At 44.4% G+C, this 27,351-nt stretch overlaps 1 protein-coding gene across 4 annotated transcripts in view, besides 1 other annotated feature; it reads left to right on the forward strand.

The window, feature by feature from the left end:
- PTPRJ (protein tyrosine phosphatase receptor type J) overlaps positions 1-27,351 on the forward strand; it is a 190,281-nt gene that overhangs the window by 136,987 nt on the left and 25,943 nt on the right. For 3 of the 4 annotated variants that reach the window (NM_002843.4, XM_017018085.2, XM_047427374.1), the window contains exons 4-13: positions 3,458-3,721; positions 6,068-6,325; positions 7,423-7,641; positions 10,235-10,498; positions 12,914-13,171; positions 18,494-18,751; positions 19,458-19,736; positions 21,941-22,231; positions 25,374-25,505; positions 27,130-27,340. In NM_002843.4, the coding sequence (NP_002834.3) occupies positions 3,458-3,721; positions 6,068-6,325; positions 7,423-7,641; positions 10,235-10,498; positions 12,914-13,171; positions 18,494-18,751; positions 19,458-19,736; positions 21,941-22,231; positions 25,374-25,505; positions 27,130-27,340 (2,434 nt within the window). Of the gene's footprint in view, positions 1-3,457; positions 3,722-6,067; positions 6,326-7,422; positions 7,642-10,234; positions 10,499-12,913; positions 13,172-13,965; positions 15,176-18,493; positions 18,752-19,457; positions 19,737-21,940; positions 22,232-25,373; positions 25,506-27,129; positions 27,341-27,351 lie in introns of those variants that run through there. The other variant, NM_001098503.2, reaches the window with a different exon arrangement.
- Positions 10,130-10,490: a silencer, noted in NCBI's record as "fragment chr11:48149227-48149587 (GRCh37/hg19 assembly coordinates)". NCBI's record gives its function as "represses an EF-1alpha promoter that drives an FKBP-Casp9 reporter gene in an ReSE screen in K562 erythroleukemia cells {active_cell/tissue: K562}" and the evidence as "EXISTENCE:reporter gene assay evidence [ECO:0000049][PMID:32094911]".

Below are 27,351 nucleotides of genomic sequence, written 5' to 3' on the forward strand. Positions count from 1 at the left end.
AAAAAAAAAAAAAAAAAAAAAAAAAAAAAAGCAAGCTCATACCTCCAGCCTGGGTTTTGAGAGCCTGTCTGAAAAAAACAAAACAAAACCCTCAAGTAAATAACCTAATGTAGCACGTTAAGGAACTAGAAAAATAAGAACAAACTAATCTTCAAATTAGTAAAAGGAACAAAATAATAAAGGTCAAAGCTGAAATAAATGAAATAGGCACTAGAAAAACAATAGAAAAGATCAATAAACTAAGTTGTTTTTTTGAAAACAAAGAACATTGACAAAGCTTTAGCTAGACTAAGAAAAAAGAGACGCTACTCAAATAAGAAAATCAGAAATGAGACATTATAAACTGATACCACAGAAATACAAAGGAACAATTATGAACAATTATATGCCAACAAATTGGATAACCTAGAAGAAATGGATAAATTCCTTGCCATATACCATTTACTATGATTGAATTATGAAGAAATAGAAAATCTGAATAATCCAATAATGAGTTAGGAGATTGAATCAGTAATAGACCATCTCCCATTTCTATTTATTACTGTTGTTATTCTAAGAGACAGTGACTCCCTCTGTCACCCAGGCTGGAGTACAGTGGTGTGATCATAGATCACTGTAAGTTGAACTCCTGGGCTGAAATGATCCTTCTGCCTTAGCCTCTCAAGTAGCTGTGGCTATTGGTGTGCACCACTACATCCAGCTAACTTTTAAAATTTTTTTGTAGAGATGGGGTCTCACTGTGTTGCCCAGGCTGCTCTTGAACTCCCAGCCTCAAGTGACCCCCACCACCTTGGCCTCCCGAAGTGCTGAGATTACAGGTGTGAGCCACCCAGTCCTCTGCCAAACCTTTAAAGAAGATCTAATGACAGTTCTTCTCAATTGCTTCCAAAAATTGAGGAGGAGAGAATACTTCCAAACTCATTTAACAAGAGCAGTATTACCTTGATACGAAAACCAGACAAGGATACAACCCAAAACACTATAGGCCAAGATGCAAAAATCTTTAACCAAATACTAGCAAACCTAATTTAACAGCATATTAAAGAGATCATTCACCATGATCAACTGGGATTCTTCCTAGAAATACAAAAAGGGTTCAACCTGTGCAAAACAATAAATGTGCTACACCATATTAACAGAATGGAGGACAGAAACCATACAATCATTTCAGTAGATGCAGAAAAAACATTTGACCAAAAAATATTGTTAACTGTGCTTTCTTTTCTGAACTTAAGAACTTGCTTTTCCAAAACCTTCCCAGAATCCCTGTATGAATCAACAAAATTTAGTTCTTAACACATTTCTCCTTCTTTAAAATGGTGACATTAGCTGGGCATGATGGTGTGTGCCTTTAATCCCAGCTACTTGGGAGGCTGAGGCAGGAGAATCGCCTGAACCCGGGAGGCAGAGGTTGCAGTGAGCCAAGATCACGCCACTACACTCCAGTCTGGGTGACGAGCAAGACTTCGTCTCAAAAAAAAAAAAAAAAAAAAAAGAAATAATGGTGCCATACCTTTCTCATGAAGTTGTTGTGAGGCATAAATGAGAACATACTTGTACAGCATCTGGGACATGGACGGCCTCTCAAAAGGAGTGCTGCTGTTCTTGCTACCTGCACCACTGTAACTGATGTTGTTTCATCATCCTCGTCACCATCATTGTTATTGATTGTAAATGGAAGCACAGTGGTCATCTTCCAAATATGCCACTCTGACTCTGTGAACTTGTCACTTTATAAAGAGGAAATTCAAGCTTGGAGGGGCCTTCTGGCATGACGTTTATTGAATTGTGGGGCACAAGATGCTTCCCTGCTTGTTCCATTTTCCTTTCTCTTGTTTATTCTCCTGCCTTATTTATTTATTTTTTCTTTTGAGACAGAGTCTTGCTCTGTTGCCCAGGCTGGAGTGCAGTGGTGTGATCTTGGTTCACTGCAAACTCTGCCTCCTGGGTTCAAGTGATTCTCCTGCCTCAGCTTCCCGAGTAGCTGGGATCACAGGTGGCTGCCACCATGCCCAATTAATTTTTGTATTTTTGGTAGAGACGGGGTTTCACCATGTTGGCCAGGCTGGTGTCGAACTCCTGACCTCAAGTGATCTGATCTGCCTGCCTCAGCCTCCCAAAGTGCTGGGATTACAGGCATGAGCCAGTGTGCCTGGCTTCCTGCAGTTTTTTTATTGATTGGATGAATGTTTGTATATCCCATGAGCCAGATGAGGCACACTGTCCATGCACATAGCAAGATGGTAACACTTACACCATCTTTACTCTTTTGGGATTAGTCCCAAGCTCCTTGAGAATGACTGCCGTATCACCTGGGTTTTACTCTTCGGTTTCTGGTTGTTACTCCTCAGTCTTCAGCTCAATTAGGATGCATCCATTTGGTAGTTTTACAGTTAGTAACCCTGATGGCTTCCACTGGTTTACGATCTTGTACATCTAAGATGATGAAACTAAGGTTCAGAGAGGTGAGATGACTTTGAGTAAAATTGCATGGTGAGCAACTAGCAGAATTGGACCCTGAAACCAGATTTCTAATGTCCAAATCTTGTCCCTTGTTTATCATATCATGGTGGTTCAATAATAATTCTTCGTGTTTAGTGTGGTGTACTAGAGCTATCAACAGAGAAACTTGAGACTGAGAGGTTTGAAGGGACTAATTCTAGGTCACACAGCTAATGGATGGAGCAGGTCTTTAATCCCAGATCTGGGTTCCAAGACCAGTCCTTTTCTCTTTACGCTGCTCTGTCCCTGCTATCTTTATGTCAGAAAACCACTGAGCTTCCTTCTAGATGTCAGGGTTTGGCAAAAAAGTTATCATGTGCTTCTGCGTCATGCAGCGTTTTCTGAGAATGGGGAGAGGGACTCATTTTGCATCTTTGATCTCTCTTTTTTATTTTGAGATGGAGTCTCGGTCTTGTCGCCCAGGCTGGAGTGCAGTGGCGCGATCTTGGCTCACTGCAACCTCCACCTCCCGGGTTCAAGTGATTCTACTGCCTCAGCCTCCCGAGTAGCTAGGATTACAGGTGACTGCCACCACACCCAGCTAATTTTTTTTTGTTTTTTTTGTTTTTTTAGTAGAGGTGGGGTTTCACCATGTTGGCCAGGGTGGTCTTGAACTCCTGACCTCAGGTGATCCACCCGCCTTGACCTCCTAAAGTTTGGTCTCTTTTTGTATCAGCTTCTATACAGACTTAACCCCATTTTTAAGTCACAGCCAGCATGGTCAACTTCTGTCAGTTTTGCTTCTGTTCCAAAGGCTTCTGTTTTACTAACATACACACATACATGTATGCATATGGATTTAAATAAATTCTGGTGCAGGGAAGTCTAGGAGGCAAAGAGAGATAAAACTCTGTGATTGGAAAGTCACTTCTGGAAACTAGACATATAGAGCAGACCTCACTCTTACATTTCTTTTTGAAGTGCAATAATTTTTTTTTTTTTTTTAACAATATAGGGCCCAGTCCTGTGTTTGACATTAAAGCTGTTTCCATCAGTCCAACCAATGTGATCTTAACTTGGAAAAGTAATGACACAGCTGCTTCTGAGTACAAGTATGTAGTAAAGCATAAGATGGAAAATGAGAAGACAATTACTGTTGTGCATCAACCATGGTGTAACATCACAGGCTTACGTCCAGCGACTTCATATGTATTCTCCATCACTCCAGGAATAGGCAATGAGACTTGGGGAGATCCCAGAGTCATAAAAGTCATCACAGGTAAGATGACTGGCTCCCAGGGATGATGACAAACCATTTCTTATTATGGTGTATTCTAGGGCCTTGTCCGTTCAAGTTGCCTGTTGGAAAGAGAATGGTTTTCATAAACTAGAAGAGGAGAAAAGGTGCTATGTTGTTTCAAGCCTGGGATTTCTGGTGGCCACATCATTCAGTATTAAGGCCCTATGTGTTTTGGGAAGTTCTAACTACTTCTGTTTGGTTTTTAAAATCTTTTGTTATTGTTGGTTAACACCTACCTTTCTGTTAAGACTCAGGAGTAGAGACTTCCTTAAAAACGCGTGTCTTCATGGTAATTACCAGCCTTTTAAGCTCCCAGGAAATTGATGCTGTGTTTATATTCCCAGGAGTTTCTGTTGGGCAGGAAAGTTTGGTGTATTTTATAGGGGAGTGTGTGTTTCAAATGAAATAAGAGTTTGATGATATTTAAATTTTAATTCAGATTTGACAGTTTAGATTTTGATTTATCTTAGATGTCAATACCGAAGCCATCTATTATAGCTGCAAACTTAGCTTTTTTTTTAAGCTGAAAAGAACCAAACATTTTAAAAAACAGGTGGAGAAACTTTTTTAAGGTGAGGAGAACCAAAAATTGAAGAAAGAGGTCCTCTGTTAGTTTTCTGATCTAGGGGGCTGGGGAGTGTGATCTCAGGGGCTGGAGTCGGCCATGGGCGCCTGAGCTCTTGGAGCCCACGGCTGGAGGTGAACGAGGTCCAGCGTGGAGCAGCAAATATGAAACCAGTGGCTTCCGACATTTTAAGTCAGGAAACTATTTCTTTAAACAAAACCTTGCCCAGGAGCCCAAAAAGTAAAAATAAAAAACTGGAGAGAAAAGAGCCAAAGAAATGGGAGTCACGGGCACCCTGACAAAACTCCTGGAGCTCCTCAGAGCACTATTTTAGGGGGGAAAACCTGCCATAAAGGTTTGCTCTGTTACATTGTGAAAGAGAGGGAAAGGAGAGCACAGAGAGATGACAGAAGAGAAGAGAATGAGAGAAAAGAGCATAGAACTTGGAAATGGTCATGAGGACAAGGTGACCCCGAGGGGGTGGCTGTGGGAAAGGGGATGCGGAGGTGCAGGAAGCACCGGTAGAGGGGCTGAGTGTCCTTATCTAGCTTAAAGCCCTGAGCACAGGGCTGCATGGGAGCAGGTCCATCAGCTGCTGCGTATTGAGCACGGCACATGTGCCTCTCTGTCCTTAATGTTATTTTGTCCTCACAGTAACCCTGGGGGCTGCAGCAGAAGACACTGTAATGTGGAGAAGTTAAGTTTCTTCCGGTGTCTCAGAGTTACTGAGTATCAAGTGGTGGGGCTGGAACCCGGAGTCTAACTCTAGACCACTGTGGTGCAGTGATGTTCATAACAGCTATCCACAGTCACCGAGCTGGGAATTTATTGGTTCTGCATTACTTAATAAAACAAAAAGACGCATGACTGACCTGATTTAGAACTCTTTGCATGAGAGACATGTGCTGTGAAGAATCATCTTACCGTTTCGGAGCTGGACGGTGCCTTAGAATCATCTAGGCCGATGTCTTTACCTTCAGGCCCCTGCAGCCCTCAGGAGGGGTTTTGCTCTATCTGCAGCACTACCTGTGCTTTTCTGTACATGAAGCTGCAGCCCTGGGTTCTCCTGTCCCCACTGCTACCAGGAGTGTGTGTTCTTGAGCAAGCCCCCCTGCCTCTCTGGGTCTTCGTGTTCTTATTGGAAAAGTGAGGGGAGTGCATGTCATTTTGGGTGAAGTGGTTTGACTTATGTCACCATCAACCAAATAACGCGATGGGAGGAAGGTCCAGGATATAGTGGAGATGGAACGTCTTCTGAAAAATCCCCTTGGTGCTGGGATATTGAATGTGCTGCTTACTTGAAATGTCTTGGTAATTTAAAATGATATTATTTGCATTATCTTGAATTGAGACCTTTAGATTAGTAAACAGTCACTTTATTTGAGGCTTTGTTCCTGATATCTAAAACACATACAATTAAATGCTACCATTTAAAAGGGACAGTTTAGAAGAGTGTCCAGTCACTATTGGGGTTAATCTTGGAGAACAGTGTGGATCCTAAACAATTTCAGTTTTAAGGTTTTTTTCTTCTCTTCCGTGTTATTATTTTCTCCCCCAGCCCTGCTGTGAAATGATGGAAATGCATTGGGCTCTGATAGAAAGGAAGTATTTTTAGTGAGTCACATTGGGACATCAGTGACCTCAGTCATTCTTTCTTTTTTTCTTTTAAAACCCGCTCCCAGCACTGAACCCCAGTCATTCTTAATGAAGGTGACTGCATATATCTTGTTCCATTAATGCATGTTGTATTTTTAAAATAGAGCCGATCCCAGTTTCTGATCTCCGTGTTGCCCTCACGGGTGTGAGGAAGGCTGCTCTCTCCTGGAGCAATGGCAATGGCACTGCCTCCTGCCGGGTTCTTCTTGAAAGCATTGGAAGCCATGAGGAGTTGACTCAAGACTCAAGACTTCAGGTCAATATCTCGGGCCTGAAGCCAGGGGTTCAATACAACATCAACCCGTATCTTCTACAATCAAATAAGACAAAGGGAGACCCCTTGGGCACAGAAGGTGGCTTGGGTGAGTTACAAAGGGTACCTTCCGTCTCCCTTACTGGTTCTTACTTTCAGTAACTAAATGTTCTAAAAAATAAATTGCTCTTCCATGTGTATGGAGATTTAGAATTTATAAAGGGCTTTTCCTCCACATTTTAGTTTGATCCCCCACCTGCATGAGGAAGGAAGGAAACGTGTTCTGATTTTACAGGGGAACACATTGGGGCTGAGAACAGCAATAGGAATTGAAACTTTTTAGAGTCTGGCACCCAGGAAAGTTAGAGGCCCCTTTAGCTTTCTATCTAACAGCTGTGTCAACCCAAGTTGGGCCTTCAGAGGAACTTATCACGTCTGCTGGTTGATGTTGGCGTTGTCATTTGCAGGTTTCATAGCATTTGCAGAGGATCCCCAGGATAACTCCATGAGGAGGACAGGCACTTAATCTGCATTTTATACTTAAGAAAACAGAGCTACAGAGTGGGTGTCAGGATCCTTGCTTGCGAGTGACAGAAACCAGACTTTGGATAGCTCAGACAGAAGGAACAATTTATTGGCTCATGTGGATTTTCCTGCTAGCGGGAGGCCTTAGAGAAAGAGATGAGGCAATTCTCATCCCTCCCTCTTGCTTCTTTCTGTTCATCAGCTTCATTCTCAGAGCAGCTCCCTCTGCACACTTAAGGAGCCCAGCTGCTCCTGTTTCACACCCTGCAGCTGCCCCACCAGCCAGCTGCCCCACCAACCAGGGTCTGGTCCAGGGAAACGTGTCTTGAGTGGGGTCTGATTAGCAAAGTCTGCTTCACAGAGCTGTCCCTGGAAATCCATGCTGGGACAGGAGAAGATAACAACCCAAAGAAGGGAGAATGACCTGAAATAAGCAGAGTTTGAAAGAGAAGCACCAGATATCTGTGGTGCTACTGGAATAACAGTACAAATGGAGATGGAGCTATCAGGCCTTTTTATGGGGCTGCCTCTCTCTCTGGAGGAGGAAGGGAGCAGATATTGATGGAGCACCAACTGTGGCCACTGTCTGATGGCCATCTGATGGGGTTGGGGCTCCGAAGGAAAATGGGGGATGTGTCCCTCTTGTGGTTGATGTCTTTTTGTCTCCTGTGCTTGAAACAGATGCCAGCAATACAGAGAGAAGCCGGGCAGGGAGCCCCACCGCCCCTGTGCATGATGAGTCCCTCGTGGGACCTGTGGACCCATCCTCCGGCCAGCAGTCCCGAGACACGGAAGTCCTGCTTGTCGGGTTAGAGCCTGGCACCCGATACAATGCCACCGTTTATTCCCAAGCAGCGAATGGCACAGAAGGACAGCCCCAGGCCATAGAGTTCAGGACAAGTAGGTTGAACTTTGTAAAATGGTGGCAGCCAGAGTTTCCTAGCACAATGTTCTGTCTCCTGTGATTCTGATTCTGAGTGATTTCTTGCATAACAGCTAGTTTTGATGTCAGAGGGAGCTTCCTGGAGGAGATTTTGGACAGAGCAGATCTGCTCAGTTTCTTCTTAACTCCATGGGCAGTGCACATCTCTCATTAAGTGAAATCAAATACATGGAGCAGCCCCTGTGTGCGGGCACCAGGCACTGCCTCACGCCATCTTTCACAGCTTTGCGTGGTGGCTGATGAGACAAACTGGCATCATACTTTCCTCTTAAAAACAAATAATCATTGCTTGTTTTTCCTTTGCTTTGAGTTAAGAAAGTTATGAAAGTGAGTTTCATTTTTTCACCCGCCTTGTAATTCATACCGATCTTTCTGTTGAAATGCTTGTTGACATGCACATTGCTGCTTCCTCGCTATAATTTATCAGCACTTTCACTCTGTAAGTTCACCAATATTTGGAGGCTTTGGTGAAAAGAGCGGGAGGTGAACACATTTGGGAATACTTAGAGGTAGTTACTGGCCAGGCTGTGTTACTTGTACAGGGCTAGAAGTTTTGGCAAGACATTGGTGAGAAGCCATTCTGTAAGGAATGACAGTTTTTCCTGGTATCCATGTTGAAGGAGGGTCCATTTGTGTCCTTCCTTCCCTTTGTACTTGTTTTGCTAATGTGGGAGTGGGTGGGGAGGATGCGGCCGTAGGACAGGCTGCCTGACCTCATGGGGCCTGCAGTGACCTGGCAGGAGTGGCAGGTGGGAGGCTCTCGGGTGAGGAGGGCTTGGATTCCAGAGGGTGGGTTAGTTGGAGGAGGAGGAAGGGGCTCCTATGTGGGTGCGGTTGGCAGTGGTGGGGTGTCCTGCACATGGTAAGCTTGCGTGAGAGAGTGAAAGGGGCTGAAATCTGGTCTGTGTGCCCTGCGTCAAGCCATGCACCCAGGGCTGGGTCCAGCCAGGGGAAGGTCCCTTTGACTGATTTGCTAAAAGGACTTGTAGATTTGTGTGGGCCTGGGGTCCCTGCTTTTTAAAGCAGTTTGAGCAAAAGCAAAGTAGTAGTGATTACATCTCAGGCTCTTGGTGGTGTGAATTCACACACATCCTGCTTTGGGTTGAACTGTCTTCATGCTTGGTAAATAATCATTATAGTAGCCTTTCCCTCTCTATAAGGGGCGAGTGTGTGTGTATAGATAAGTCTTAGTCAGTTTGGGCTGCTGTAACAAATGGCCATGCACTAGATGGCGTAAACAATGAACATTTATTTCTCAGGGTTCTGGAGGCTGGAAGTCTGAGACTGGGGTGCAGCATGCCTGGGCTCCGGGTGAAACACCCTCTTCCTCTTCCAGGTTGCAGACTCCCTGGGTCTTCACGTGGTTGAAGGGGTGAGGGCGTGGTTTCTCTCCAGCCTTTTTGATAAGGGCACTAATACCATTCAGGAGGGAGGTAATTCATGATCTAATTACCTCCCAAAAGCCCCGCCTCCTAAAAGCATCACATCAGGGGTTACAATTTCAACATAGGAATTTTATGGGGACAGAAACATTCAGTCTGTTGCAACACACACACACACACACACACACACACACACACACACACACACAGATAAACACACATTTCCACCCACCCCAGAGCACCCTGCACTTTTCAAGTGACTAGTTAGGTGGGGCAGGGTTAAGGAAACCATCAGAGGACATTGTTGAGGCACCCAAGACACGACAGAAAGCCACCTCTAGGGCTGAAGGGCTAGAGGAGGACAGGGTGTTTCTGGAGCCCAGTGAGAGCTGGGGCAGTGGTGGACACAGCTGTGTCAGGACAGGAGGCCCAGAGCAGGAGGTGATGGAGGAAGGCACTGACTCCTTTCTCCTGTGGCCCTTCAGGGGCCTGCCCATTGGCTCATAGTGGAACCCGGTCACAGCCCATGTGGCAAGACCCCCCATGATGCCTTGCACAAGGTCAGCCTCCTGGGCCCAGAGCAGGTGAGGGAAGGGCAGTGGATATGTCGGGAGGGTGGAGTGGGCAGGTGGTGAATAACTGGCACTCGGGTTATCTTTTCTTGAGGTTAGGATTGCTCTCCAGTTTTATAGGTGAGGAAGCTGAGCTCAAGTGGTTTTCCTGTGGCCCACCTGGGTGTCATAGCAGAGTGAGCCCTGGAACCCAGGCCTGCCTCGTCCTGACTTCTGTGATCTCGGGCGATCACATAGATCGCAGTGTTCGCTCTTGCATCATGTGTGTTTGACAACTTTTCTGGGTGCCCCTGGCCCTAGGGTAAGACATGCATAGAGTCCAAGTCATCATTTAGGTCAAATCTCTAAAGTCAACTTACAAAAAGGAACAAAGAATAACCCTGCAGGTGCCATTGGCCAGGTTGTTTCTTCACCGCCCAATGATGCCTGACTTTGGCTGGGACCGTCATGCTTTCCTAGCCACGGTTGATGGTGCAGAGGAGGAAGGAACACTCCCCCAGGAGAGTTTGCTGGGCTTGACAGCATGCCCTGATGACCTCTCCCTCCCTCTGCCTTGGCCGTTCTGGTTATTTTGAACTCCTCTTGTGTTCTCACAGATGCTATTCAGGTTTTTGACGTCACCGCTGTGAACATCAGTGCCACAAGCCTGACCCTGATCTGGAAAGTCAGCGATAACGAGTCGTCATCTAACTATACCTACAAGATACATGTGGCGGGGGAGACAGATTCTTCCAATCTCAACGTCAGTGAGCCTCGCGCTGTCATCCCCGGACTCCGCTCCAGCACCTTCTACAACATCACAGTGTGTCCTGTCCTAGGTGACATCGAGGGCACGCCGGGCTTCCTCCAAGTGCACACCCGTGAGTTCATGCCTGGCTCTCACCACCCTTTCCTGCTGTCCTGCTCCGTGCCAGGCCCAGACACAGGATGCATGATGTAGTAATGGTGACTGTTGGCTGACCACACGCCAAGCTTCGTGTGACATGCTTTCCTTGCACTGGCACATTGTATGCTCACAACAGCCCTGTGATGTGGTTGGAAGTAGCCTTATTTTATAGATAGGAAGCCAAGGCTGAGAGAGGTGCTAGACAGGTATCACAGCTGGAAAGTGGCAGAGGTGAGATTAAGCCTCTGGTATTTCTCACCTGGAGCCTGCGCTTGTAACTCTCTTTCCAGTGTGGAGGAGACCTAGAGTGAATTGATACAGGGAGACAAAAATGACCTGGTATTCATATCCCCTTGTGTCTTGGGTGCTGACATTATAACGAATCACTGGCACAGCTGTATCTCATCTTTGTTTGTTTAAATGTCCCTTAAAAATAAGATTTTATGCAGCAAATAAAAAGCTTTAGGTTTCAAAGAAGGTCCGATAATGTAAAATAAAACAGTAATGGTGCACTAGTAGTACAGTGGTATAATATTGATTATATACTATTAAACAATAGTAGTGACACCAGCACTGCATTTTGCACTGTGCCATGAGATTTATAGACACTGTAGTGGCCTCCGAGGTAGGTATTGGGGTCCCCTTTTACAGATGAGGAAATGACACCCTGATGGCTGAACAGTTTGCCCAAAGCCACAGAGCTAGTGAGTAGCAGAGCAGGACTTGAACTCAGGGGTGTGTGGCTCTGGACCCAGGCTTATCCCACAAGAATGTCCATTCCTTCGCAGGAAGCACACCTTAGCATTCTTATAGATGTATTTTGGACTGGATCTTTGGGAAAATGAAATATGCTTGCATTTCTTTACCTTTTACTCTTTTACTATTTATTAGTTAGGATTAGGTTCAGCCACGAATAACACCACCAAAAACAACAACAACAAAACCCAAGTATCCGTGGCTTAAACAAGACAGGGGTTTATTTCTCTCTCCTGTAACAGAAGCCCAGTGCTAGGCAGGATGGGGATGATAGAGGTTATCCAAGGCTCAGTTGTATGAAACAGAAACTGTGAGCTATTTTAACCAAAAGGGATTTATCCTGGGAATTGAGGTTTTGCAGAATCATTGGAAGAGCTGGTGTATTAGTTTGCTAGGGCTACCAGAACAAGTACCAAAGGCTGTGTGGCTTGAACAGAAATAGACTTTCTCATAGTTCTGGAGGCTGAAGGTCAAAGATTAAGGCAACGGCAGGTGTGGTTTCTTCTGAGGCCTCCCTCTTGGCTTATAGATGACTGTCTTCTCCCTCACATGGTTGTCCTTAGTCTGCGTGTGCCTATGCCCTCATCTCCCTTTATAAGGACACCAGTCTTGCTGGATTAGGGCCTACCTTCATGACCTCACATTAACTTAATTACCTCTTTGAAGACCCTGTCTCCAAAGACAGCCACATTCTGAGGTCTTGGGGGTTAGGACATAAACATACACATTTGGGGGTGAGGGAGCACAAGTCAGCTCATAACAGTTGAGGAGCAGGCTTTAGGCCTCGCCCCAAGAAATGACTCCTGGACTAAGTCTGCAGAACTGACCCCCTGGAGAGTCACCACCTTGGTCACAGACAGCAGAGGGAGGAATCAGGAAGTCTCTGCTGTAGTTGCGGGATCCAGGGGTCTATGTTCTGAGCTGTGATCCTGGGATCAGGAAGCTGCAGCCACCGCTGAGGTTTTGGTTCTAGAGCCAGGCAGCGTGAGCTCCAGTCATTGCATCCACACTACAGGTATAAGAAGGAGGAAGGGCAGAAGGTTGTGCCCCACCCTTAAAGGACACTTCCTAGAAGTCACCCAGTACCTCTGCTCATGCTTCGTTGAGCAAAACTTAGTCACATTGCAACATCTAGCTCCATGGGAGCTGGGAAATGTGGTCTTTGTTTCCAACAGGTATGCACACACAGGGCTAAAAATCTGGGTGGGTATGATGAAGGGAAAATGGGGGAATGGATTTTGGGGGTCAAGACTGGTCTCTCTCTGCTGTCCCTCCCTGAACAGAGGCTCTGGGAGGCTAGTAATGCATTCGAGATAAAGCAGCCAGTGTGGCCAAGGTTCTCCTCCAGAGCCTGAGCCCTTGACCACAGGAGCTCACGCCTCCTCTCATTTCCTGTGAATGATTGTGTGCAATGTAAGCACAGAGCTTCTGCACTCTCATGATCAAGTGCTCTCTCCATGGCCAGAAACAGCAGTTTCTGAGGGGCTCATGTTGTAGGTGATGATACAAAGAAGACAGAGAGAGGGATCAGGTGTCCTAAGTGTACATTTCATCTCAGTATTTTCTGAGGTGGGGCATCCCTGTCTCCTGGAGAAGTATATTTTTAATCTAGTTGTTTACTTTCTTTGCATAGCCCCTGTTCCAGTTTCTGACTTCCGAGTGACAGTGGTCAGCACGACGGAGATCGGCTTAGCATGGAGCAGCCATGATGCAGAATCATTTCAGATGCATATCACACAGGAGGGAGCTGGCAATTCTCGGGTAGAAATAACCACCAACCAAAGTATTATCATTGGTGGCTTGTTCCCTGGAACCAAGTATTGCTTTGAAATAGTTCCAAAAGGACCAAATGGGACTGAAGGGGCATCTCGGACAGTTTGCAATAGAACTGGTAAGCAAATAGGCTTTTCTGTTAAACCATCATGTTTCTTAAAGGAAATCAGTATAATTAATAAACATAATGTTTCCAAATATTGTTTTTCTTTTAATTATCTAAGAAAAAACTTTAAAAATTTTCATAACACTAATGCTTATTTATTATATGAAATACAGACAAGTAAGTAGAAAAAACTTACATGGAAACCATCAAGCAGAGATAATCACTTTTGATGTATGACATTTTACAATTTTTAAACATATACATATAGATACACAAATATATGTGTGAGTATACATATATTTAATACATATATATTTAATATTTAATACACACACACACACACACACATATATATATATATATATATTTTTTTTTTTTTTTTTTTTTTTTTTTGAGACAGTCTTACCCTGTCACCCAGGCTGGAGTGCAGTGGCATGATCTTGGCTCACTGCAACCTCCATCTCCTGGGTTCAAGTGAAGCGATTCTTGTGCCTCAGCCTCCTGAGTAATTGGAATTACAGGTGTGCACCACCATGCCTGGCTAATTTTTATAGTTTTAGTAGAGACAGGGTTTCGCCATATTGGCCAGGCTGGTCTTGATCTCCTGATCTCAAATGATCTGCCCACCTCAGCCTCCCAAAGTGCTTGGATTACAGGTGTGCGCCACTGCACCCAGCCCACAAATATATATTTATTTCTTTCACAAACATTGAGGCCATCTGTACATGTGGTTTTGTAATCTGCCTTTTCCCCAACTTGCCAATTAATTATGAATATTCTTTCCTCTTAATAAAATATTTCTACAGGATGATTTGAACACCTGCCTGGAATTCCATCATCTGAAACAGAGTTGGCAGATAAGAATGGCCCCTATGCCAAATTTGGCTCATTGTCTGTTTTTGTAAATAAAGTTTTATTGGATCACAGCCATGTTCATTTGCTTATGTACTGTCTATGGCTACTTTGGTGCTAGAATTGAGTAGTGGCAGCAGAGAACGTGTGGCTTGTGAAGCCTGAGATATTTATTTTCTGGCCATTACAGAGAATGTTTGCTGACCTCTGGGCTAGATCAGTGGTTTTCAAATTGTGGTCCAGGGCTCTCTAGGGATCCCTAGGTTCTTTCAAGGGGTCTCCAAGGTAGTATTATCATAACAATACTAAAATGTTATTTGGCTTTTTCATTCTCATTCTCTTTTGGAGTTTTCCAACTTTGATCCGATATGGGATGACATTGTCTCTCAGGTCTAATGGAATATATGCTGTGGATTCTTACATTTTAAAAATTTCTTCATTTTAAATCCCTGATATAGTAAATATTAATAAATATAACCTATGTAAATACAAATTCTCTGAGAGCCTTAATAACTTTTAAGATGGTAAAGAAGTCCTGAGAGCAAAAAGTTTAAGAACCTCTGGTCAAGATGTGTTAGAAATTAACTACTGTGCTGTGTTGGGCAGGTGGACTGTTCACAGTCTTTCCTAAACAACACTGTGATGAGATACTTTGTTAGTTCTAGAAGGCTAATTGAAATTGATAAAATCATTTTATAGTCAGCTACGGTGGCCTGCACCCATCGTCCCAGCTACTTGAGAGGCTGCGGCAGGAGGATTGCTTGGCCCAACAGTTGCAGACTAGCACCAGCCTGGGAGACCCTGTCTCAAAAAAAAATTTTTTTTTATAGAAACAGTTTAAATTATTAAATTATTTCTAGGCCTACAGGAGAAACTTCTGGGAAATCCTAGAGAGTAATGTTCATTATTGTTGTTTTAAAATTTTGAAATAATTGTTTTTTGGAAAGGTTGAAAAACATACAGTCTTCCTTGATCTAAGATTCAAGATAGTTGAAATCTTTTATACAGAGGGTAGAATAAAGATATACCTAATGTAAATGATGAGTTAATGGGTGCAGCACACCAACATGGCACATGTATACATATGTAACAAACCTGCACGTTGTGCACATGTACCCTAGAACTTAAAGTATAATAAAAACATATATATATATATAAAAGAAATGGGACAGATTCCTTGAAACACACATGAAATGAGTTACGCTTTTGAGATTCTCCTTGAAGAAGCTTCTTCAACTGTGCTGGTTGGGTTAAGCACCGATAGTCACTCAGAGGATCTGCTTCTGAAATAAGGGATCTACTAAAATGCATCCCTCAGATGAAATGCAGTATTCCCTTTGCAAATCTGCATTTCAGACTGTTGACATGACGTCTTAACGTCAACATGTTTCTTCTGTCTTTTAAGGATGTGGATAATGGTAAGAGGATCACCACTGAGGGAGATGCATGATGTTGTGCTACTTGCTATTGCCCAGAACTTACTGTAACAATAATATAATATGCTGGGGGTCTGCGAAGTGCTGAGTGCTCTCATACTGCATTTTACATTTTTAACACAACTTCATGGAGCAGGTATTATTATCATTTCTGTCTTACAGAGTAAGAAATGGGGGCTCTGCAAACTTAAGTAACTGGCCCAGAGTGACAAGGTGGCAAACTGACCTGTGTCTGCTGTCTAAGACCAAGTGCTTAACCACCATGTAGATTGACACTTTGATGTGGTACAGCAGTAAAGTTTAGTATTAGTGAGGAGAGGGCATCTCTTTTACTATAGTTTATTGTGAATATTCTTTCCTCTTAATATCAGTATTTCTACAGGGTAATTTTAACACCTGCCTGGAATTGCATTGTCTCAAAGGACCCGTTTCATTCAATGGTCCCATTGAATGAAAGTCAAGAAGGCTTGCTATAAGATCTAAACTCTTAGGGGGGTTACCTTTCTATTATCAAATAACCTTTATTGTTATTGGAAAAAGTCAGCTTAACAGCATTAAAAGCAATTTCAAAAAAAGGAAACGAATACCATATGATCCAGTAATTCCAGTCCTATGTATATCTCCAAAAGAATTGAAAACAGGCCCCTGGACAGTTATTTGTACATCAGTGTTCATAGTAGTAGCATTGTTCACAGTAGCCAAAGGTGGACCCAAGATCCCATCAACAAATGAATGGATAGATAAAATGTGGTTCATCCATACAACAAAATACTATTCAGCCATAAGAAAGAAAGAAATTCTGATTTATGGTACAACATGGATGGATCTTGAGGACATTATGCTAAGTGAAGCCAGACACAGAAGGACAAATACTGGATGATTCCACTTACATGAGTACCTAGATTAGGCAACTTAATATTCTACAGAAATTAGAATAGAGGTTACCAGGGGCTGTTCAGAGGAGGGAGTGGGCATTATTGTTTAATGGCTACAGTTTATGCTGGGGATAATGACAGTGTTTTGGGTACAGGTAGTGGTGATAGTTACACAACATTGTGAATATTGATGATACCGAATTGTACACTGACAAATGGTTAAGATGATAAATATTATGGTATGTATGTTTTACCACAATAAAAATGAAAAGGAACAAATATCTCTATTTTTCTAACCCAACTGAATTCCTTTTCTCTCTGTGTCCACAGTCATACATTTTGCTTGTATACTGTAATTATTATACAAATACTTTTATTTTGTATTTGAATTTCTTTTTACTCAGTCTATACCACAACTTTCCCCTATAGTTAGCATGGCCTTCATATTTTTAGTGGCTAAAGAGTATTTCATCATGCAGCCAGATCACAGTGCCCACAGCCCTCCCCATGTTATTGAATATTTAGGTTGTTTCTAGGTTTTTATGTTTATAGACAAAGGCTGCCTTTCATGGGCTTTTGTCTGTGGAATCCCTTTGACATCAGGAATCTGCTGGTAGGAAACAAAGGCTCCTCCCAGTGGCTTCTCTGTAAGGAGAATCCACTTAAAATTAAAAAAAAAATTAATTTTGGAGTAGATAGTACGTAAACATGGCACAATTTTTTTTGTTTTTTGGACAAGGTGTTTGCAGTGAAAGCATTTCCCTTTTTTGTCCCCTACCTGCCCATTTCCTCTCCCTGGAGGTGACGTTTGTTGCCAGGTAAAGAGAGACAGGGTTGAAAGCCGCGGTAGAAAATAGGCCCAGCCTCCGCGGTTACTTCCGGGCCTCTATGTAGGCATCCCTGGTGCAGGTGGCTGAGTGGGCAGCGGGAGATGATCGGAGGATGGGCTCCTGTGGGAGATTCCATTTCTGACTCTGCTCTGAAGGTGCAGGGTGTGCCTGTTTTCTTCCCTTCCTCATCCGTCCTCAAATGCTGCAACTTAGTAAAGGTCAGCTCTCCATTTCAGTTTTCCTCTTTGGTATGTAAGGCTGTGTCACGGGAAGATGTTTCCTTCTGAGTGACTGATTTAAAAAACACAACAAAACAAAAAAACCTCTTTATTGAGATATAATATACATACCGAAAAGGGATGTATCCTCAGCACATAGCTTCATGAACTTTTACAAACTGAACACATCTTGTTACCAGCACCCATATAAAAAAACTGAATGTGATTTCCACTTCAGATGACCCCTTGAAGGGCTTTTTTTTTTTTTTTTTTTTTGAGATGGAGTTTCGCTCTTGTTGCCCAGGCTGGAGTGCGATGGCGCGATCTTGGCTCACTGCAACCTCTGCCTTCCGGGTTCAAGTGATTCTCCTGCCTCAGCCTCCCAAGTAGCTGGGACTACAGGCATGCACCACCACGCCCGGCTAATTTTGTACTTTTTTTGATAGAGACGGGGTTTCTCCATGCTGGTCAGGCTGGTCTCAAACTCCCGACTTCAGGTGATCCGCCTGCCTTGGCTGCCCAAAGTGCTGGGATTACAGGCGTGATCCACCGCGCCTGGCCTTTTTTTTTTTTTTTTTTTTTTTGAGACAGAGCCTCATTCTGTCGCCCAGGCTGGAGTGCAGTGGTGTGATATCGGCTCACTGCAACCTCTGCCTTCTGGGTTCAAGCGACTCTTGTGCCCCAGCCTCCCGAGTAGCTGGGATTACAGGCGTGTACCACCACACCCAACTAATTTTTGTATTTTTAGTAGAGATGGGTTTTCACCATGTTGGCCAGGCTAGTCTCGAACCTCTGACCTCAAGTGATCCATCTCGGCTTCCCAAAATGTTGGGATTACAGGCATGAGCCATTGCACCCAGCCTAAGGGCTCATTTTTAAGACAACAACAAAAAACTGGAGAACTGGTAAGATAAACTGGGAAGTTCATGTGCGTCACAGAAGAGCTGAAATTCTTGAGAGCACTGAGTGTGTGCATTTCTCAGCTCGATTTTGGAGTGTGCCTTTTGTGAACTCATTAGAAAGCGTAATGGCAAAAGAGCAGGTCCTCTCGACAGCACTTGGAGAGGAAGCTGGGCGTCATGATAGTAACAGTTTTCCCTTCTCCTTCCTTTCTTCTGAGCAGTTCCCAGTGCAGTGTTTGACATCCACGTGGTCTACGTCACCACCACGGAGATGTGGCTGGACTGGAAGAGCCCTGACGGTGCTTCCGAGTATGTCTACCATTTAGTCATAGAGTCCAAGCATGGCTCTAACCACACAAGCACGTATGACAAAGCGATTACTCTCCAGGGCCTGATTCCGGGCACCTTATATAACATCACCATCTCTCCAGAAGTGGACCACGTCTGGGGGGACCCCAACTCCACTGCACAGTACACACGTAAGTCTCTTAGGATGCCCTTCTAAGGAACAGCCTCTCTAACTGTCTCTTGGAGGAGGCACTGGTTAAATGATGGCCAGTGTGCTTCTGGGATCCAGGTTGACTCTGAAACTGCTGAAGTTGAAAACATTGGTCTCAGCAATGGTTCTGCTGTCACCATGGGGCACTGTTCTTCAAGCTATGTGAACTTAGAATTGTCATTAGAAGGAAGAAATGATTCCTTGGGAATGGTGACTGAAATGGTTCTAGTCATTCCTTGAGAATACAGAGTAGAGAAGGGTCACCTTGTCATGTTGGTATTGGAAGATACTGCCCAGATGAGGAGCTTCGCCTGCAACAGTTAGGGAGGTGTTTTGCGAATATTTGAATTAAATACATGGTAAAGATGTTAGTTTGTAATATGTTTTTAGTATATTTTTCTCCATCTATTAGATTTAAAAAACAGATTAGAAATTAAATGTTAAAAATATATTTGAAATAAACTTGAAGTATTAAAAGAAGCCTAAATTAAACTTCTTTTGAGACTTAATCTGTATAATTATTTTCTTGATGTGTTTTTGGGAAGTTTTCCATCTTTTGAGCCAGCAAATACTAGTTTTATTCATTCTTTCTAAAACGAGCCAGGCTATTTTTGGATATAGTAAATAGTCCTGGAATTCTACTTAATCTGTGCTTTTACATGAATTGCCTTTTTTTTAAAATCAAGGGCCCAGCAATGTGTCCAACATTGATGTAAGTACCAACACCACAGCAGCAACTTTAAGTTGGCAGAACTTTGATGACGCCTCTCCCACGTACTCCTACTGCCTTCTTATTGAGAAGGCTGGAAATTCCAGCAACGCAACACAAGTAGTCACGGACATTGGAATTACTGACGCTACAGTCACTGAATTAATACCTGGCTCATCATACACAGTGGAGATCTTTGCACAAGTAGGGGATGGGATCAAGTCACTGGAACCTGGCCGGAAGTCATTCTGTACAGGTGAGTGTAGCCCCAACTGCCTCTTGGACTCCTCCCTGAGTGGTGCTGACCTTGCAGGTCAGTCCTCCCAAGTCTGTAGTTTGTCTGGTTTTGTGTGATGTGCAGTGATGGACATTGAGCTTTCCGAGGCATCCTGTTAGCTTATCGGTGCTGTCTCGATGCCCTCATCATTTCTGCATTCAATAAATATTTATTGAGCATATACCATATGCCAGTCAAGTCCTTGCCTTCTTGGAACTTTTCGAAGGAGGAAGTGGGATGTTTACCTAGAGTGCTCAGGAAAGGCCTCAATGACAAGGTGACTTTTGAGCAAAGATCTGAATGAAGGGAAGGAGCCAGCCATGTGGATATCAGGGCATGAGAACATTACAGGCAGAGGCCTGTGCAGAGGGGCCTGTGCAGCATCACCACTGTATCTGGAGGCTGGAGGAAGAGCAGGAGGCAAGGGTGGGAGGAGTGGACCCGCAGGAACAGGAGGATATAGGTGGGAGGTGAGGCCTGAGTGGGGCTGAGCCAGGATGTGGATGATATCTGGCATTGGTTTGTCTTTTGTGCTGGAGAAGATGAAAAGTTTATTGAAATGATGCCCAGCCTTTGCATCCTTCTTGATCCTCACCTATCTCACAACTGAAAATGTGTGATAAAGAGAAGAGCCCTCTGTGTAATTGAGGATGCTTTCAGGGCAGCCCAGGAAAGGCTTTGCAGACAGTGGTGGGCACTTCTGCTCACAGTGCTGACTGTGGCACCTTTATCACTCAGCACCCGTGCACTACTCATTTTCTGCCCTTCTCGCTCCTACCTCTTCCCTTTTTAGCCCAGGCCATTCAGATATGTTCAGGCTGATTTGGAAGTGATGGTCTCATGGGATCAGCCTCCCTGGTAGTATAGGAGCTCCAGCCTTGATGGCCTCTGGCTTTTCAGTGGTGAGTGGGGTGGCCACAGAAATCCCTGCAGCTTTGGGTCACTTCTGCTCCATCCCACCTGGTCTAGACACCCATCTTTGATATTTGGGTGCCTTTCATTGCTGATATTTATCTTAGCTATAGTTATTTGTAGCCTATAGCAAGAGAAAAACTGTATCTGAGCATTTATGACTGGGTGTGGGTGGAACAGGAGCTGTAAAAGTGGGTGCAGTGTTCAGGTTACCTTTCCAGGCCCTGGGTGGCAAATGTGGGTGTTGCACTAGGTGCCTTGGTAGAGCTTCTCCTGCTCTAAAATTCTGTGACATTCAATTAATGATAATACTGTCCTCCAGTTGTAATATGGAGTTTTCTATTTACATCAGTTTGATGTTAGTCCTCAGTAAAAATCTAATGGCCCTCAGATAGAGACAAATAACACTCTATTTTGAAGATGAGGAAACTGATGCATCATCAATGGATGATGCAGTATGTTATGTGAGTAGAGAGTGTCTTGAACTTAGACTTAGAAAACCTGGGATCTAGTTTTGGCTTCACCACCTGCCATGTCATCATCAGCCAATTACTTAACCTCTCTGAGCCTCTGTGGATTTATCTGCAGATGGGACAGTATAGGCCTCACCTGTCTCAGAAGTATCATCAAGAGGGCCTTGGCTGGGCTGGTGGCTCACACCTATAATCCCAGCACTTTGGGAGGCCAAGGTGGGTGGATCAGGAGGTCAAAAGATCGAGACCATCCTGGCTAACATGGTGAAACCCCATGTCTACTAAAAATACAAAAATCAACTGGGTATGGTGGTGCATGCCTGTAGTCCCAGCGACTTGGGAGGCTGACACAGGAGAATTGTTTGAACCCGGGAGGTGGACGTTGCGGTGAGCTGAGATTGCGCCATTGCACTCCAGCCTGGTCGACAGAGCGAGACTCCGTCTCAAAAAAAAAAGGGGGTCCTCATGATGAGATGGTGCAAGTGAGGAGGTTGCTACTTCTCACAGGATGATACAGCTGACTCTCATGGAGCCCTGGTCTCTTCCAGGCGTCTTTCTTGGTGCCTGACATCATTGTTCAATTTACTCTTCAAAGAGTCCTGCAGCTGAGGCTCAGAGCAGTTGGGTGACTGACCCAAGCTCACACAGTTTGGTGTTGCCCAATTTAGGGTCAGCCCCTGCCTCTTCCACCACATCACCCACCCACCTTCTCATCCCCAGGATTCTGCTACTCCCTATTTCCATGTTTGCAAAGGCAAAAGTCCCGGAATCTCATGCTGTGCTGTACTTGCTTTGCAGATCCTGCGTCCATGGCCTCCTTCGACTGCGAAGTGGTCCCCAAAGAGCCAGCCCTGGTTCTCAAATGGACCTGCCCTCCTGGCGCCAATGCAGGCTTTGAGCTGGAGGTCAGCAGTGGAGCCTGGAACAATGCGACCCACCTGGAGAGCTGCTCCTCTGAGAATGGCACTGAGTATAGAACGGAAGTCACGTATTTGAATTTTTCTACCTCGTACAACATCAGCATCACCACTGTGTCCTGTGGAAAGATGGCAGCCCCCACCCGGAACACCTGCACTACTGGCATCACAGGTGGGCTACAAGGCAGGGGCTGGTCAGTTGGCACTGTGATCACTCCTGGAGCGGCTGACCCACAGTGGGTCTGCACGTGTGGACTAGAAATCTGTTTTTGTTTTTTTATTTCCCCTAAAATATTTGCTTTTACTGACATAGACTGGTTTCTCATTCTATAGAAATCAATCTAAAAAAGCAGAGTAAGAGGGGCTCATTTTTTACATTCTAAAAGATTCCTTTTCTTTACAGCATAACTCATTGCCTCATTGCCATGTTTTCTTTTATATTTTTTTGAGATGGAGTCTTGCTCTTGTCACCCAGGCTGGAATGCAGTGACGCAATCTCAGCTCACTGCAACCTCTGCTTCCTGGGTTCAAGTGATTTTGGTGCCTCAGCCTCCTGAGTAGCTGGGACTACAGACACATGTCACCACGCCTGGCTAATTTTTGTATTTAGAGATGGGGTTTCACCATGTTGGCCAGGCTGGTCTTGAACTCCTGACCTCAAGTGATCCACCCGCCTTGGCCTCCTAAAGTGTTGGGATTACCCACGTGAGCCACTGCGCCTGGTCGTCTTTTAGCCCACATCTGTTGGTGGCTTACTGTGTGCTATGGTGAGGGATACTATGGTGAGTAGGGGCGACAGGGCCCCTGGAGCATAGGACTGAGAAGAGCATTGAGAGGGAGAGGATTTCCAGGTCTGGTGGTGGGTGAGCTAGCATGCTGCTGCCAATTTTGCAGCAAGGACCTGGGGATGGACCTTCTCTGGCCAGCTACAGGGTATAGAGCTGGTGGGAAATGCAGGAGCCTGTGCTAGCAGTTGACCATTAACATGGGAACGCCACCTCCCAGCGGGCACTGCTGCCGCATACTTGCGAGGTTGCTGAAGCTTGTAGTTTAGAGCAGGACCATCCCACTAGATGTGCAATGTGAGCCTCAGGTATAATTTAAAGTTTTCTAGAAGCCACACTGAAAAAAAAGTGAAAAGGAATAGCCGAAATTGGTATTAATAGCATTTTACTTAACTTAGTATATTAAAAGTATTATTTCAACATGTAATTTCTGTGAAGTATTAATGAGTTATTTTATGTCTTCTTTTGTACTAAGTCTTTGATATCTAGTCTGTATTGTGTGCTTGTAGCACATCTGAATGCAAACTGGTCACCTCTCAGGGGCTTGGCAGCCGCATGTGGCTAGAGGGCTGCTGTATCAGCACAGGTTTAGACAATTATGTTGTGGTTGTTTTGGAGTTCAGATTTCTGTCTCCTTGAATCTTGAATATATATAATAATGAGAACAGGCTGGGCGTGGTGGCTTATGCCTGTAATCCCAGCACTTTGGGAGGCTGAGGTGGGAGGATTGCTTGAGCCAGGAGTTTGAAACCAGCCTGGGCAACATAGCGAGATCCCATCTCATTTATTTTTTAAAAATATATAAAAAAAATGGGAATAACCCAAACTGTATGTGTGAGATGAATTTAGGTAGAGAGAGAGAGTGTGTGGAGTGGATCATCTTTAATTCAGTGTGTTCTTTCTTTTGTGTTAGTTCAGAGAGTGGCTCCATACCCTGGCTTGGAAAGGGGGGGTGTGCACAATCATGGAGGCCATCCATGGAGGGTCCTGTGGGGGCTTTTCTGGTTTCTGGGAAGAGGATCTGTTGGGTTTCTCTAGGTGGTATTTGAGACCAACTCTGGGAAAAATGTGGGGACTGTTTATGAAGAACACAGAGAAGTGCTGTGCCCAGGTCTCAGCAGAAAGTGTGTTCTCTCCCACCTCATCTGTGATTCTTCTCCTTGGACATTTGCTCCGTCTTTGCTCTCAGCTGACCAGCTGATCCTGGGGCCAAGCCAAGTCCATGTGGTGTCATTGTGCAGCTCCCAAGGCCACACCTTAGAGTTCCACCACAGTCTCTTTCTCACTCTCCTTCTTCCACCCCAGATCTCAGGATAATGAACCCGGCTCATCTTGAGTCATATGGGACTGGGGGAGAGGACAAGGGCAGGTTAGCTTCCTCATGCAAGGATACTAGCTTCTTACTCTAATGATGGTTTCTTTTACTGTGCAAAACCTTTTCAGTTTGATTTAATCTTGCTTGTCAATTTTTGCTTTTGTTGCTGTGCTTTTTGTGTGGTATCCAAGCAACCATTGTAAATACTATGTCAAGAAGCTCTTCCCCAATGTGTTTTTTTTTTTTTTTAAACAAATTTTACAGTGTACAGCTTTAGGTCTAATGTTTAAGGCTTGAATCTATTCAGAGTTTATTTTTGTGTCTGGTGTAAGATAGAGGTCCAGTTTTATTATGCTCACGGATACACAGTTTTCCCAGCACCATTTGTTGAAGAGGCTGTCTTTTCCCCATTGTGTCTTCTTGACATCCTTGTTGAAGATAAGTTGACTGTATATGTGAGAGTTTAATTCTGGGCTCAGTATTCTGTTCTATGGGTTGATGTCTGTCTTTATGCCTTTAATATACTGTTTTAATTACTGTAGCTTTGAATAAATATATCTTGAAATCAGGAAGTGTGAGGCCTCCAGCTTTATTCTTTCTCAACGCTACTTTGGCTATTCCTGGTCTTTGATTGTTCCATGTGAACTTTAGGATTTTTTTTTTATATTCTGTAAAAATTGCCATTGGGATTTTGATGGAGCATTGAATTTATAGATCGCTTTGAGTAGTGTCAAGTCTTCCAACAATGTGAAGTCTTCCAATCCATGAGCATGGGATGTCTTTGCATGTATTTGTGTATTTGTATCTTCTTTATTTTATCGATGTTTTGTGGTTTTCACTCTACAAGTCTTTCATCTCCTTGATTGTATTCTAATTATATTTCAATCAATCTGTTAAAAAATAAAATAAAAGCATGTACTGTTCAAAACAACAATAGCAAAACCAAACAAGGCTGCTGGGTGCCTGCCCTGGGGATTTGGCTGGATGCCCTGAAGGGGTCATTGTGAGCTAGGTGGGTTTCCCAGGATCTGCTGTCTCTGCTCCTCACCAGTTTCCTTCCCTGCCTTTTGCTTCTGGATTTGCTGTTTTGCACGAGCCCAGCATGTAGCTTCCAGAGTAAGATCTTGAGGAGGTTGCTGAAGCATGTTCTCTACCTAATGTGTTGCTTTGGTTTTCAATATTGGGTGATCATGTTTTGTTTTGTTTTGTTTTAGATCCCCCTCCTCCAGATGGATCCCCTAATATTACATCTGTCAGTCACAATTCAGTAAAGGTCAAGTTCAGTGGATTTGAAGCCAGCCACGGACCCATCAAAGCCTATGCTGTCATTCTCACCACCGGGGAAGGTAAGGAGAGGCCTCCGTGGGTTAAACAGCCCATGAGTGATGCAGTGACCAGAGCTTTCTCTGTGCCCACTGAGGCATGTGAGTAATGCAGACACACGCCTGTCTTCTCACTGCAGCCTATGCTGTGTACTCAGACAGAGAAGGAGGGTGAGGTATTTGCCTGATGGTTGACAAACTTTCTGGAAAGGGCCAGATTGCCAATATTTTAAGCTTTGCAGGTGGTATAGAGTCTGTTGCAAGCATTCGACTCTGCCATTGTAGTGTGCAAGCAGTCACAGAAGATACAGAAGGAATGAGTGGGACCATTCCCACTAGATGTTATTTACCATGGCAGGTGGATTTGGTTTGTGGCCCATAACTTGCTGATCTGTGATCTAGGTTTTTCTTCTCTTTTACCTCACTGGGCCTTTTAGGTGGTAGAATATTAGTTTTAACCAACTCTGTCTCTCTCTCTCACTCTACACACGTACACACATGCCATCCTCAGAGGATGACTTTCCTTTGAAAGAAAATAGAAAAAGATTTGCATTTGCTAGTGGGAATTTGCAGAGTATCTCCTTAGCTGAGAGAAGAGGTGGATTAAAAGCTGCTTTTCCTTAAAGGGCTCTGTTACATTCTTTTGTGGTAGGAAAGGAATCATTCGAGAGTCTCTTCGGTAGCTGTGTTTGAGTGCTTGCATAAGGCCTAGATTTAAAAGCCCAAGTTTTGTTGTGGGGGTTCCCTCCTCCCCCTCCCCTCCTCCCCCTCCCCTCTCCTCCTCCTCCCCTTCTCCTCCCCCTCCCCTCTCCTCCTCCTCCCCTTCTCCCCTTCTCCCCTTCTCCTTCCCTTCCCCTTCCCTCTTTCTTTCTTTTAGAGACAAGATCTCACCATGTTGCCCAGGCTGGTCTTGAACTCCTGGACTCAAGTAATCCTCCCACCTTGGCCTTCCAAAGTGCTGGGACTAGACTACAGGCATGAGCCTCTGTGCCTGGTCTGGGAGATTCTTTATGCATGAATAATGCAGTGTTTCCTCTGCCCACTCTCTCCTACTGTGGTGCTGTCCTCATGTCCTTGAGGAGGATAGAGACCAAACACACTGTCGGGGTTAGGGATCTGGGAGGATAGAAATTTGCTGGTGCCATAACCTGTGGCAAAATTTCAAAAAGTGAGGTTGAAATCTCTATCTTTTAATTTTGGGTCTGTTTCCAGCTCTTAGTCATTTTGCTGTGATGCTTGTCAGCAAGTCCCATTGAGGAAGGCCATGTTGCATAGCAGCCAGACTGACCAGTGCTGGCCTGTGATTAGATGAAACCTTGGGCTCTGAGCCCGATGCCCTGGATTGGGAACCCAACTCTACCTCATAGGCAGTGTGACCTTGTGCCTGGTCCTGTTAGCCTTTTGTACCTTCGTTTTCTTGTCTGTAAAATGGAGACAATAAGCTTATGTGATGGGATTCATGGGGATGAAGTGAGTTACTGTAGGTGAAACCCTTAGAATTCAATGTAAGTCAAACCTGGCACAGAGAGATACTTGAGAGATGGTTGCTGATCACTATCACCCAACATCACCACCATGTAGATATGCAGGAGAAGAAATCTCTCTGCCATCACTTTCTTATGATTCTCCTTCTGTGTACCTTTCTTAGCTGGTCACCCTTCTGCAGATGTCCTGAAATACACGTATGAGGATTTCAAAAAGGGAGCCTCAGATACTTATGTGACATACCTCATAAGAACAGAAGAAAAGGGACGTTCTCAGAGCTTGTCTGAAGTTTTGAAATATGAAATTGACGTTGGGAATGAGTCAACCACACTTGGTTATTACAATGGGAAGCTGGAACCTCTGGGCTCCTACCGGTAATGTCTTC

This window comes from Homo sapiens, chromosome 11 (genome assembly GCF_000001405.40).
Source record: "Homo sapiens chromosome 11, GRCh38.p14 Primary Assembly".
NCBI classification, from domain to species: Eukaryota; Metazoa; Chordata; class Mammalia; order Primates; family Hominidae; genus Homo; species Homo sapiens.